Source organism: Homo sapiens, chromosome 3, assembly GCF_000001405.40.
Source record: "Homo sapiens chromosome 3, GRCh38.p14 Primary Assembly".
Lineage (NCBI taxonomy): Eukaryota > Metazoa > Chordata > Mammalia > Primates > Hominidae > Homo > Homo sapiens.
Window position 1 is genome coordinate 44,674,188 of NC_000003.12, and position 13,330 is coordinate 44,687,517.

Below are 13,330 nucleotides of genomic sequence, written 5' to 3' on the forward strand. Positions count from 1 at the left end.
CTCTCTGCCTCCCCTACTGCCAAACCTGGCAGCCCTCAACACCCTTCCCTCTGTGCAGTACCCTTGTTCTCCCTTTCCCCACTTTATCTGATAGATCTCTGAATTCTCTCTTGAGTCACAAGTTCTCATCCTGCCTCTCTCCAGCCAGGAAGTTGACTTGGTCAAGCTCTGTGACTCCCAGGACGCCATGTCCACAGCCCAGCCCATCTCTGACCACCACTTGCTGCCTTGGCCAGTTTCCAAGTCGCCTCTGTCTCCTCCTCTCAGCTTGGCAGTCTTTATGCATGCAGGCATTGCCCTCATCAGACAAATGTTTGGTGACAGTGCCATCCCTGGCTCTTTCCCAGAATGCATTTTTTTGTTGTTGTTTTGTTTTGTTTTGACTACTCTTTCTTTTCTTTTTCTCTACCCATGCTCTGAAACCATAGTATACATACAGGACAATTATGATTGTAAGTACTGTGCTTCCTATCCCAGATATTTCAGGAAGCTCACTGGTGTAACACTTGGGGCCTTACTCTGATCCTCACACACTCTTGCCACACTACAAAAAGGGATTTTATTTGACTGGTGAGTTTTGGAAAGCCAGTCCTCCTCCCACTTCTCCCTTGGGGTCTGGCATCTTCACAGAAACCATGCATTCCATCCTGGCCGTTTGTGCTGCAGGTGTTTCAGGAGCAAACCCATGGCAGCCAGCACTATGTCCTTGGGTGGCTAATGCTGCCTAATCCTGGGATTCATAACCCCACTTGCCTGCAGATACAGCCACATTCACCAATATCAGGCTTTCACTAATAAAAGTGATATGTTGGTCTCCCCATATTATTTCTCAGTTGGTTCGAATATTGAGTATAAAATTATAATAATAGCTAATACCTAGCTAAACACTTCATGTACATTGTATTTGACTCATGTACATTGTACATGTGCATTGACTTATTTAATTCTTACAACATCACTATGACATAGGTACTAGTATTAATCCATTTTACAGGTAGGAAACTGAGGTACAGAAAGGTCACATAACTGTTCATGGCAAAGACAGGATTTGGTCTCAGACAGTCTGGCCCCAGAGACCACACCCCTGGTCTCAATGCTATATTGCCTCTGAAGAGAAGGGTGTTACTTATTGAATTCCCTCAAATCCCACTATAGTTTCATGTTTCCCATCTAGAATATAAAGCTGATTCTATTTTTATTTGCTTTTGTTATATCTGTTATCTTCTATGTCTTGTTTAGATATCAAGACCAAAGTTGAAAAGGCAGATTTGATTCCGGAAAAAACAAATGTGAAAGGAGAATTCTCTGGAAGACTGGAAGCATGAAAAGTGGGAAGTAGGGGAACAGGGCATTCGGAACAGCCTGCAGACAAGCAAGTGAGGAGAGACAAGCCAGACACCAGGCAGGCCCCAACAAAAGAAAAGAGGTCTCCCAGGAGAGAGGGGCCGGAACTATAAGGAACTCAGGAAAGAGGTCTGCCACAACTCCAGCCTGGCTGCCCCTAGCAGGAATCTCTTAAGCATATACTGTGTATGGCAAGGCCTTCAGCCAGAGCTCCACTTTCATCGTGCATCAGATAATCCACACCTGGGAGAAGCCGTGTGGGTGTGGGTAGTGTGGCAAGGCCTTCATGCAGAGCTCCCACCTGACCTAGCCCCAGAGGGTACACATGGGGAAGAAGCCCTTTGTCTGTGGCACATGTGGCAAGGCCTTCAGTCAGGGACCAAGCCTAGTCGTGCACACAGGGTGGAAGCCACACATGTGCCCATAGGGTGGCAAGACCTTCAGCTGCAGCTCGTGCTTCCTGGTTCACTGGTAGAGCAACACGGGGGAGAAGCCCTATTGCTGCACCCAGTATGGAAAGGCCTTCGGCCAGGGCTCCCACCTTTCCAGGGTGAGGAAATCAACTCAGAGTTTTGCAAATCATCTGAGATGACCCAACCAGTCAGAGGCAGAGCATGTCCTGAAGGGCCCCTCATGGTTGCCTAGTGCCTGGTACCTGGGAGCATGCCTGGAAGAAATACCAGCCAACTTCCCCGGTCAGAGCCCAGTGCTGATGGGTCAGGGCTTCAGGTCCAGCACTGAATCCACATGAGAGCAAGCTGAGCCCTTGTCACCAACCTAGCTCTCAGGCTAAGGTAGGCTCCTGTAAGGGCCTCCTGGTGTCTTTGGAGAGACAAGATACATACACAGTAAACACACAAATGAGTAAAGGACAGTAGGTGACAAGCTGAGATTAAAGTGCTGAATTGTGTGCAGAGATAGCAAGATCAGCAGGGAGGGGAAATGGGTGAAGCTTTAGTGGGCCAGCTCTGGGAGAATGGGTTGGCAGTAGGTGGATGAGGGACAGCCCAGGGAGGGGACTAAGCAAACAAGGAATGCCTCCAGGTGGGCCCCAGTGAGGGGAGAGACTGGCTGTACAGTCACTAGGAGTGGCAGGCTTGACAGGCACATGGGGAGGTGAGAAGTTTCAGGACAAAAGCCCCGGTGTGTGGGTGGTACCAACCAAGGCCAAGCCCTGCCCACGGTACTGGGCTTCGTGTACCAGGTTAACCCTGGGCAAGCCACTGAGCATCATTTTCCACACCTGTGCAGGACAGGAGTTGGACATGAGGGGCTTTGAGCTCTCTTCTCTCTGCCACTTGTGATTTCAGAGCTTTGAAGCCATTGTCAGAATGAGGACTAATAGACGGAGGAGGGAAGTGTTGGGAGAATGAAGCTGATGGGAACTCAGGGTAGACGGACAAAGAGGAGGAAAAGGAGACAAGGGAGACCACGTGGGAGGCAGGTGGGGAAATCCAGTTGGTTCTTCTCAGACTTTGGTACCTACCACAGGTGACCTTGCTCAGCTGAAGTAGGTCAAAGACGCTCTTTAGTCATTGTCCATTCATTCAGCAATTTACTGAGCACCTTTTATGTAAAAGGCACCTTGCTAGGTGAACTAAGGGGCCCACAGGGAATGAGACCTGGTCCTTCTCTTAACACAATCCAGCAGGGGAAGTAAGACCACCACAAGGCAGAACATGCTGAGCGGGAGGACAGCTGAGGATAATTGCAGGGAAGTTCAGACGAGGGTGGATGCTGCTTTGATTTGGGGTGGATCATGAAAAAAGTGGCATTCAAGCCAACCTCGAAGGGTGAGTAGGAGTCCCAAAACCTGATGGGAGAGGAGTTGTGTCTAGGAGAAGGACTTGTCTGGAAAGCATGAAGCATGTTGGGAACAGTGTACTGTCTTGGCTTGATAGATGGAAGGCATGCCAGTGACACTCTGGGTGCTTGCTAATGTTCATGCTGTGTGAGATGTAAGGTACAGCTAGTCTGAAAACCTTCCTAGCACTGGCTCCTTTTGCAGTGTGGATGTTTTGTTAATAAAGAACAGGTTTGTGCTTCCCCCATCACTAAGCAGTGCTTAGCTTAAAATGTCATGCAGCCTGGTCTAGTAAATAAAATATACAGTGCAGCTCTCCAGATCCCCTAGTTGCCAGCAATTATTAGTCTGCTGGGACCTGGCAGGAAGGAGAGAGTTTAATGAAAGGGTGATTTACAGAGGTTTGGGGAGGGGATGGGGAGACACCAGATACCAGCAAGAACTAGAGCCTCTGCCACTCCTAGCTTGAAAGGGCACGGAAGGAAATGGTGTAGCTGGAGCCATGCAGCTGTGGTTACAGAGGGACACAGCCACTGCCAGAACCATGGTAGCAGACAGAAGTACCCCGTCCCATTCTCATGCCTCCCTCTGACATACCAGTGCATCCCACTAGGAAGCCAGAAGTAAGGGACCCAGGGTGATGCCACCCACAGGGATCTCTGCCCCAGGGCAATGAGGTAGATGATGGATCTGGGGTGCAGACAAGAATAACCAGTATGCAGGCCAAGGAGTGGAGAATCAAAGAATAACTCTGTGGGGCAGAGACCAGTCTCTACCCAGAGCTGCTTGGCCTCTGGTAGTACATGGATCTCTCTACTCTCTAATTTCTACCTCTGCCACTTCCCTGAATGGCGCAGCTCTTCTAAAATGAGTGGCAGAGTAAACCCTTGGCCCTTCCCACCTTCCAGCAGACATTAACTTCATCCAGTCCCTGGACTCCCCCAACACCCACCCCCAGAGAAACCTGGTAGTTTCAGTTTCTCTGGCTGTACAGGTTATCCCCTGCTGACCTGCCCTAGAGATAAGTTACTGTTAGGCCATGTCTCAGAGCAGGAAAGCAAGTTAATAATAATTGTTTTATTTTATACAGTAGTTACTAAGCACTTACTCTGTGCAGTGCTCTTCTTAATGTGTTTTACTCAATCCTCACTGCATCCCTTAGATAGTTAATATCACCATTTTATAGACAGGGACAGTGAGGCACAGAGAGTTTAAGAAGTTTGCCCATAGGTATGCAGTAAGTGGAGAAGGGACTGGGCTGTGGGCATTGAGTGGCTGCTGAGTCTGGACACCACAGCCCACACCAGGGGTGGACATCGCTCCATTCAATTTACTGTCTCCCTGATACTCCGCCTGTAGCCCACACCGAGCCATGCACAGCTGCAGTGGTCACTTCCCTGGCCACCGTCTCCATTCAGGCAGAGGTGTTTTGGTCCTTTCACCACTTAGTTCTGCTTTGCCCTTATGTCCAAAGCAAAACCCTTTTTACTAGAACTTTTGTTCTAGTAAAAAATTAACTTCCCTTCATTTTCAGGCCTGCAATCCTTCGCCAGGTGTCTGCCCAAGACAACTAGCAGTTTCACACAGATGCTAAGTCTCATGCAAACCAAAACCAAGGAGTCACACAGCTCATTTCAGATGCTTATTGTGTAAACACACAAGATTAGCAGTTGCTTTCATGAATGTCTGGGCTTCTGTGCACACCCTACACCTTGCCTTTGTTAAAATAGGCTGTTTTAACAAGGAAAAGGGCCCTGGTGTTTGCCAAAAGAAGGGGGATTTGGTAAGAAGGATTTTCTTATACTTTGGATGGACATTTTTTATTCTTATACTTAAAAAAATTATTACACTTTGAAATTTCAACTCCTTGTGACGGACGCCATGCAGTTTGAGCTGACAGATGTTGCAACTGTAATTCACCTCAGGCTTTCCTTGTTGCCAGAAGTCAAGCCAGTGACTGATTCCTAGCACCCCTTTTTTGCCTACTAGTGATTGAAAGATAAAGTATATCTCATGCTGGAATTGACCTAGAAGGAACTGGAGACATTTTGAAAGTCAACCTTCCAGTTTGTTAAAAATCTCTAAAATTGACCCTCTAGTGTTGGGGACTATAAATCCACACCCAAGAGAGGGCCAGTTCCTGACTTAATTGGAGGGCTAAACTCATAGCAGTGGGCAGCAACCAGCATTACAATACAGTCCTGTGCTGCTTAACAATGGAGAGTTCTGAAAAGGGCATTGTTAGGTGATTTCATTGTTGCGTGAATATCATAGAGTGTACTCAAACAAACCTAGATGGCAAGTCTAAGTACATCCTAGGCTCTGTGGTATAGTCCTAGGCTATATGATATACACCCTACTACACCCTAACTATGTGGTACAGCCCACTGCTCTTAGACTACAAACTTGTACAGTGTATTATTGTACTGAATACTGTAGGCAACTGTAGCAAAATGGTATCTGTATATCTAAAAATAACTTAGAAAAGGTACAGTAAAAATATGGTATGAAAGATAAAAAATAGTATGCTTATATAGGGCATTTACCATGAATGGAGTTTGCAGGACTGGAAGTTGTTCTGGATGAGTCAGTGAGTGAGTGGCGAGTGAATGTGAAGGCCTAGGATACTACTGTACACTTCTGTAGACTTTACAAATACTGTACACTTAGAGTAAACTAAATTTACTTAAAAATTTCTTTCTTCAATAAGTTAACCTAATGTTAACTTTTTACTAAACTTTTAAAATTTTCTGACTTTTGTAATAACACTTAGATTAAAACACACACTGTAATGCTATACAAAAATATTTTATTTTTATAAGCATTTTTCTTTTAAATTATTTACTTCAACTTTTTGTTAAAAACTAAGACACAAGTACATTAGCCTAGGCATACACAGGTCAGAATCATCAATATCATCATCTTCCACCTTCACATCTTGTCCCACTGGAAGGTCTTCCCGGGCAGTAACATGCACAGAGCTGTCATCTCCTATGATAGCAATGCCCTCTTCTGAAATACCCATGAAGGACCTGCCTGGGACTCTTCTTAAGGAGGTGTCCCTCTTTTCAGAAATATGTCCATGGTGGTTTGCTTGGTATTTCCTTTTTTCATCATAGATTTGCCAGTAAACAAATAATGCACCATGAACATTCCTCTCTATTAATGAAAACCTTTTGGTGTTGGGGTCCATGTTTTCAATTTTTTTTTTTTTTTTTTTTTTGAGATGAGTCTTGCTCTGTCACCCAGGCTGGAGTGCAGTGGCACGATCTCGGCTCACTGCAACCTCTGCCTCCCAGGTTCAAGTGATTCTCCTGCCTCAGCCTCCCTAGTAGCTGGGATTACAGGTGCGTGCCACCACACCCAGGCTTTTTTTTTTTTTTTTTTGTATTTTTAGTAGAGATGGAGTTTCACCATGTCGGTCTGGCTGGTCTTGAACTCCTGATCTCGTGATCTTCCCACCATGGCCTCCCAAAGTGCTGGGATTACAGGAGTGAGCCACCGCGCCCGGCCCAAACTTTTTAAGGAGTTTCTTGAGGTCTGCAAAAGCTTCTGCTAAACTCCCTACTGCAAATTTTCTTGATGGTGGTTTTCTGCAGTTTTGTTTTCTCTTGCCTCTTCTTCAGCTGTGTCCCTGTTCTATTTCCAACAACTCATTAGTCAATTCCTCAGGAACCACCGCTAGGAGCTCCTCAATGTCATCCTCATTCACACCCAGGTTAAAGCTGTTTGCCATCTCAACCACAGCCTTGTGGATTTTTGCAACCTGGTCATCCATGGCAAATCCTCTGAAGTCATGAACAAACCTCGAGTGTCTCCTTCCAGATGCCATTCATACACTCATTGGTGACATCACCCTAAGCCTAAGCAAGGTTCTTGATGCAGTCTTAGATGCTGTAATCCTCCCAGAATTGCATTAGTGTCTTCTCAGTGTCTCCCTCAGATAATAGCAGCAATAGCCTGGGGCAACGTCCGCTTTAGGTAGTGAGCCTTAAAAACTGCTCTAACTCCTTGATCCACTGGTTGGATCAAAGAGTTGATGTTTAGAGGGAGAAACACCAGTTTGATATTAAAACAAAGATCACCAATAAAAGGATGTACAGGAGCATTATCAACAACAAGCAAAATCTTGAAAGGTATGTTATTCTCCAAACAGTACTTCTCCATTTCACTGGCATAGCAATTCAGGAGGGCATATTGGAAGAGAAGCTGGGTCATCCATGACTTGTTATTGCTCATGTAGTACACCGGCAGTGTGTGCTTACTGATATGCTTGAAGGCCCTGGGGTTCTCACTGTGTCAAATCACAAAGGGTTTTAATTTGTGGCCAGCAACATCGCCCCCAAACATTGTTAGCCAGTCCTTCAAAGCCGTGAAACCTGCCACTGACTTGGCCTCTTTATGGATGACAGTCCCTTCCGGCATCTTTTTCCAGAATAGGGAGCCTTGATCCATATTAAAGATTTGCTCTGGCAAGTAATTTTCCCCCACAATCAGCTTATCTAGAGTTTCCAAAAATTATTCAGCTGCCTTCACATCAGCACTTGTAGACTTAGCACTCACTTTCACAATTGTGTAATGAGTAACAATTCTCGAATCATTTAAACCACCCAGAGCTAGCAATAAATTCAACAATATAGTCAGGTCCAGCCTTTTCTATCTACGTAACAAACAAGCTTTTTGCTTTAGCTGTGATTGTCATGGTGCTGAGGGACATGCTTGTGTGTCTGGTCTTCAATCTAGGTCAATATCAGATATTATCCATATCTGATATTGGCCCTTCTCAAATTTTTGTTAGTCTCATTGCCTTCAATGAAGCAGATCCTTTAACAGCTTCTATCACTTTGCTCTTGTTCTTTAGGATGGCAGCTATGGTAAAACGGGACATGCCTGACTGGTGAGCAATAACCATCCCTGATTTTCCACCTTCACAGTCCTTAATCACTTTTAATTTTGTTTCCAGGTCAATTACTCAGCATGGCCTCTTACTGGCAAAATTAGCCATGGATTTTGAATGCTTAGGAGACATGATGAACAAAACATGAGATTAAATCAAGCACAAGAGGAAATGATGCAGTCAAGAGATGTGGTAAACATGAGATAGATGAGGCTGCTGCTGGTCAAACACAGCATACTGTTTTACAGTAAACTTTGAAAAAATAAGTGGAAGGAGCACACTTTGAAATAACAATGAAAAGCACAGTAAAATACATAAACCAGTAACACAGTCATTTATTTATCAAGTATTATGCACTGTACATAACTGCATGTGCTATCCTTTTATATAACTGGCAACATGGTCAGCTTTACACCAGCATCACCACAAACATGTGAGTAATGCATTGTGCTACCACATTATGACAGCTGCAGAGTCACTAGGCCATAGGAATTTCTCAGCTCCATTACCTTATGAGACTACCATCAAATATGTGGTCTGTTGTTGACCAAAACATAATTATGTGGCACATGACTGCACATACCGAGACATATTGCATTCCTATTATATTTTTCCTTTAGTCTAAAGGTAATAAATTTCTTTTTGTGTAAGTGGCAGATGATTAGGATATTACTTTTTAATTTTATACACACACATGATCTGTTTTATTTCCTTGTAAGGAAAAGTCAAGCTCTATGGTCTAGAGAGAAGAGAACAGGCCTTAAGACTAGGATCTCATCCCTGAGCAGCTAGCAACTGAAGATGAGAGAGAAGGATATTTTTAAAGACACCCCTCTAGCATGTCTAATGGTCAAGGATTGCAGTGTTTCTGACAGAACACTTCTGTTCTGAGAGGCTCAGACTCCTTAGCCCTATGGACAGGGTTTAATACTTCATCTTGTTAACTTTGGTCTGCAGTTCTGGTCTGGTAGGGTTCCTTTGATTCATGATTCTATCATCCTATGTATCCTTCGCTGTTTTGGTCACTCCTAAAGGCAGCCTACATTTGAATGAGGATGTGACATTCTAAATTTTAGTACTGCTCACAGTGGGCCTTCTAAGCTTCCCAACTCTAGCACATTAAAGCTTTGAAATAACAATGAAAAGTAAGTAAGCTTTAATGTGCTGGAGTTACATTGGAAAAATTACAAATCTTCAAAGCAGGTGAGATCTTGCAAGATTATCAGATTAAGAGTTTCTTGATAAGAGGAAGTTCTCAATGAATTAAAATTTAATCAACTTTGTAGAAATGAAGAGCTCCTCAGTTTCCTGTCAATCAAAGTGGAAGACAGGACCTGGCATCTACCTCTTGGAACTCCAAATCTGACTGGAGGCACATGTACAAAAACAAGGCAAGTGAATAAAACACCATACAAGCAGAGTGAGTTTGTGGACCCAGATTTCCAGCAATGAACAGTCCATGACCTCTCACATACTTCCTAGTATTTATGAGATGCTGGCCTGGCTGAAGGCAAGCATATAACATGACCATTCAACTCTGCCCCATTAACAGTGGGCCCTAACCCAAGTAGCCAGCTGAGGTTTCTTCTGGGCATGAGTTGTCTGATGGAGAATAAGATGGGAGCTCTGGCCAAAGGCTCTTTCACACTCATTACACTGATAGGGTTTCTCCCCTGTGTGAATTCTCTGATGCACAATAAGGTATGAACTACAACTGAAAGCTTTGCCGCATTCATTACACTCAAATGGCTTCTCCCCCGTGTGGATCCTCTGAGGGACAGTGAGGCCTGAACTCCGGCTGAAGGCTTTCCCACACTTACCACATTCAAAAGATTTCTCTCCAGTGTGGATGCCCTGATGAACTATGAGATTTGAGCTCTGGCTGAAGGTATTCCCACATTCCTGGCATTCATAGGGTTTCTCACCAGTATGGATCCTCTGATGTCGTATGAGGTGTGATCTCTGTCTGAAACCTTTTCCGCATTCATTACATAGGAAAGGTTTCTCCCCTGTGTGAATTCTTTGGTGCACGATAAGGCTTGCACTCTGACCAAAGGCTTTTCCACACTCCTTACAGATAAAGGGTTTCTCTCCTGGGTAGTTTTGTTGCCCTCTTTCCTTGTCAAGGGCACTCCTGTCTCTGAAGGCAACACCTGTGGAAACTCTCTTCCTTCTCCTTGCTCTGGGTCCTGCCTGGCTTCCCTGATGCCTCTTTGCACTTCCCTTCCCCGCTAGGGCTTCTCTAAACCTGGCTGCCAGAGGGGCTACACTCTGAAGCCTTTCGTAAGTTGTGACTTGTATTTTGACTTCTGAAACTGGCCCCTTGTTCTTCTCCCTGTGAATTCTCGAATGTGAAATACTTTTTGAGCTTAGATTAAAGAAGTTATCAAATTCTTTACCTTTCTGGCTTTTCTTCTCTAGGGAGATTTTTACATCCTTGATTTCTGCTGGCCTTATATTTCTAGTCCTCGTCCTCAGTATCTCCCTGGAAGGATCTCTCTGATGAATATTCAAACTGTCTTCCCAATTTTTGAATGCTCCTTGCCTTCTCTCTCTCCCTTACTCTTCAAAGTCGTCTTTGAGAGGAAGAGCTGGTAACACAGCCTGAAAAAAGCCTCAGGGCCTGAATTTCCATGCTGGCTCTGCCACTTAGGGGCTGTTTGCGCTTAGGCAGATTAACCCCTCTCATTTTTTCTTAATAGGAATAATAGTACCTACCTCATAAGGTTGCTGTCAGGATTAAATGAAACAAGCATTTAGAACAGTGCCTGGCCCACGCTAAGCATTACACAAGCACTTGCTATTATTTTGCCTCTTTAATGCTCCTTAAATCTACACAGTTCAGACATTCAGACATTCAGACTTATGGGACACTTATGACTGCCACCTGCACCTACACTACTTTCCTCCCGCCCGCATCCCATTTCTAGTCCCCAGTTCACCCTAACAACAAGCCCTTCAGACACACCCACCAGTGTGCCCACGTCAATTTACCATTGCCATGGCAACACCCCGGAGTTACTGCACCTTTCCATGGCAGTGACCCAATGACCCAAAAGTACTACTCCTTCCCTAGAAAGTTCTGCATAAGCCGCCCCTTAATCTGCATGCGATTAAAAATGGGTATAAATATGACCGCAAAACTGCCCTTCAAGCAGTTGACGAGCGACTTTCCCCTTACATCAAGTGCACAGTAAGCCCAAGCGCCGGGGCCGCGGGGATTCCCGCCAGTCACTCCCGCCACTACCGCCACCCGGCCCCGCCGCCAGCGCAGCCCGCAGCCCCGGCAAGCCTGCGCCCGCTCGGCCCCGGTCTCTTTCGCTCACCAGAGGCTACGGGGCGCCCGGCCCCGCACACCCAAGAAACACTGCCACCGCGACGCGCCTGCCCCCAGGATCCTCTCGCGAGCTTCAGTACCCAAGGAAGATGGGCCGTCCCGGAAGTGCGGCCGGGGCGACTTGCAGGCCCCTCGCCGACCGCTCTAGGAATCTCGGAGGTCTTTTGACCTCGACGCCTCCTTACCTGGGTCTCCTACATCTGACCTATCCATTCCAATTAAAAATCTGCAATGTGTTTAGGGGTGGGAGGACAATCTACTATCTACACAAAGGCCTCAGAGAATGTTGGGGAAAAAATTAAAGTCTTAGATATTGACATGTTTAACTTTTACTTCTTTTACAATGTAAAAGTGTCTCTCTACAGCTCCTTTATTTTTGAGAGGTGCTTATAGAAGATACGATTCAGGTTAGAAGATTCAAGTTAGAAAATTCTCTCTAGTCAATGCTCTCCAACCCGTTGCAGTAGGATTGGGATGGAACTGCTGAGGTAGCAAGCAGGACTTGACTCCAGAGGCCGGGTCAGACACTCGACCAAATTGAGGACTAACTAAAACAGAGCCAGGTGGAAGCAGCTTTCAGTCAGACACACCCACCAGTGTGCCATGTCAATTTACCATTGCCATGGCAACACCCCGGAGTTACTGCACCTTTCCATGGCAGTGACCCAAAAGTACTACTCCTTCCCTAGAAAGTTCTGCATAAGTCGCCCCTTAATCTGCATGCGATTAAAAATGGATATAAATATGACTGCAAAACTGCCCTGAGCTGCTACTGTCTGCCTACAGGGTAGCCCTCCTTTGCAGGAGCAGTTACAGAGCTGTAACACCGCCTCTTTGAAGGGGTTTTTTCTTCTACCTCTGGCTTGTCCTTGAAGTCTTTCCTGGGCAAAGCCAGGAACCCTTGTGGGCTAAGCTCCACTTTGGGGCTTGCCTGACTTGCATAACCGTGAAGCTACTTGAGTTGTCAAATAAAAAACAAACTCAGACATAGATAAGACAGGCTTTATTCAAAAGGACAATTGCAAATGGGAGAAAGGTACTACTACAATAGGGAGAGGAGGACTATTGCAATAGAGAGAATGCTTAGACCATAAGATCCACAAACATCTTGTCAACCCAAATAACAGACAGACTCTCTAAAGATAAGGTGTTTATTCAGGAGTGCACAGGGGATTCACAAATCCAGTATATGGGGGCTATGCAGACCATTGGCATATCCAAAGAGGTTGTGTAGCGGGATTGATAAAAAATTAGAGAGACCGATGGGGTTGAGAAGGATATTTATTATTTAGGTGCACTGGCCCAGTTGGATTAACATCCAAAGGCTGAGCCCTGAACAAAATGTTAAGTTACCTTTTAAGCATTTCGTGGGGCAGGAGAAAATCTGTGCAGGGAAAAACGTATTACAGAAGCAAAAAACAAAGACAGTTATTCAATTAATTGAGACCTGCATTACATCAGTTGAAGCAAGGAAAAGTTTTTAAAGGCAAAAAGGAAGCATACGTAATTTGTTTTGAAACAAAGAGAATATTGGTTACAAGACTTATCAGAGGGGTTGATGCCAGTTTATTAACAGAGAGAGTGTGTCAAGCAAGTGTTCTTGTGCATCCAGGTAGCTTCCTTTTACTCACGTAGCAAGCTGCAGCTTAGAAAGCCCTTGTCAGAAGTTCTTGTTATGGGCACCTATGCATAGAAAGTTCTTGTAATATTTCATAACATAGGCATATGTGCATGAGGACCCTCCCTTCTTAACCTTCTGGTTTTATTTATTTCTTTTTTTTTTTTTGTTAGGGCTTGACACAAGTGACTCCATTTTGATTTTGACGACTTTCACAATCTCGAAGGTCAGGCAGAAAAGAATTTTATGCAGAACTTTCTAGGGAAGGAGTAGTACTTTTGGGTCATTGGGTCATTGCCGTGGAAAGGTGCGGTAACTCCTGGGTGTTGC

General features: G+C 45.1%; 1 protein-coding gene, 1 long non-coding RNA gene and 1 pseudogene across 2 annotated transcripts in view, besides 3 other annotated features; 1 reads left to right on the plus strand and 2 right to left on the minus strand.

The window, feature by feature from the left end:
- Window positions 1–11,466, minus strand: part of ZKSCAN7-AS1 (ZKSCAN7 ZNF cluster antisense RNA 1) — a 128,297-nt gene extending 116,831 nt beyond the window's left edge. The window contains exon 1 of the long non-coding RNA NR_157564.1: window positions 11,372–11,466. This is a non-coding gene — a long non-coding RNA (ZKSCAN7 ZNF cluster antisense RNA 1). The remainder of the gene's footprint in view (window positions 1–11,371) is intronic.
- Window positions 1,535–2,522, plus strand: LOC100419752 (zinc finger protein 251 pseudogene; annotated as a pseudogene).
- LOC124905403 (zinc finger protein OZF-like) lies at window positions 5,941–11,595 on the minus strand. Its single transcript, XM_047449433.1, has 2 exons — window positions 11,568–11,595; window positions 5,941–10,603 (listed from the first exon to the last, which is right to left on the minus strand). The coding sequence occupies exons 1-2, from the start codon at window positions 11,593–11,595 to the stop codon at window positions 9,591–9,593; spliced, it is 1,041 nt and encodes a 346-aa protein (XP_047305389.1). The 3' UTR covers window positions 5,941–9,590.
- Window positions 11,081–11,130: a silencer, noted in NCBI's record as "silent region_14271". NCBI's record gives its function as "represses an Ori minimal core promoter by ATAC-STARR-seq in GM12878 lymphoblastoid cells {active_cell/tissue: GM12878}" and the evidence as "EXISTENCE:reporter gene assay evidence [ECO:0000049][PMID:35858748]".
- Window positions 11,181–11,310: a silencer, noted in NCBI's record as "silent region_14272". NCBI's record gives its function as "represses an Ori minimal core promoter by ATAC-STARR-seq in GM12878 lymphoblastoid cells {active_cell/tissue: GM12878}" and the evidence as "EXISTENCE:reporter gene assay evidence [ECO:0000049][PMID:35858748]".
- Window positions 11,481–11,610: an enhancer, noted in NCBI's record as "active region_19769". NCBI's record gives its function as "activates an Ori minimal core promoter by ATAC-STARR-seq in GM12878 lymphoblastoid cells {active_cell/tissue: GM12878}" and the evidence as "EXISTENCE:reporter gene assay evidence [ECO:0000049][PMID:35858748]".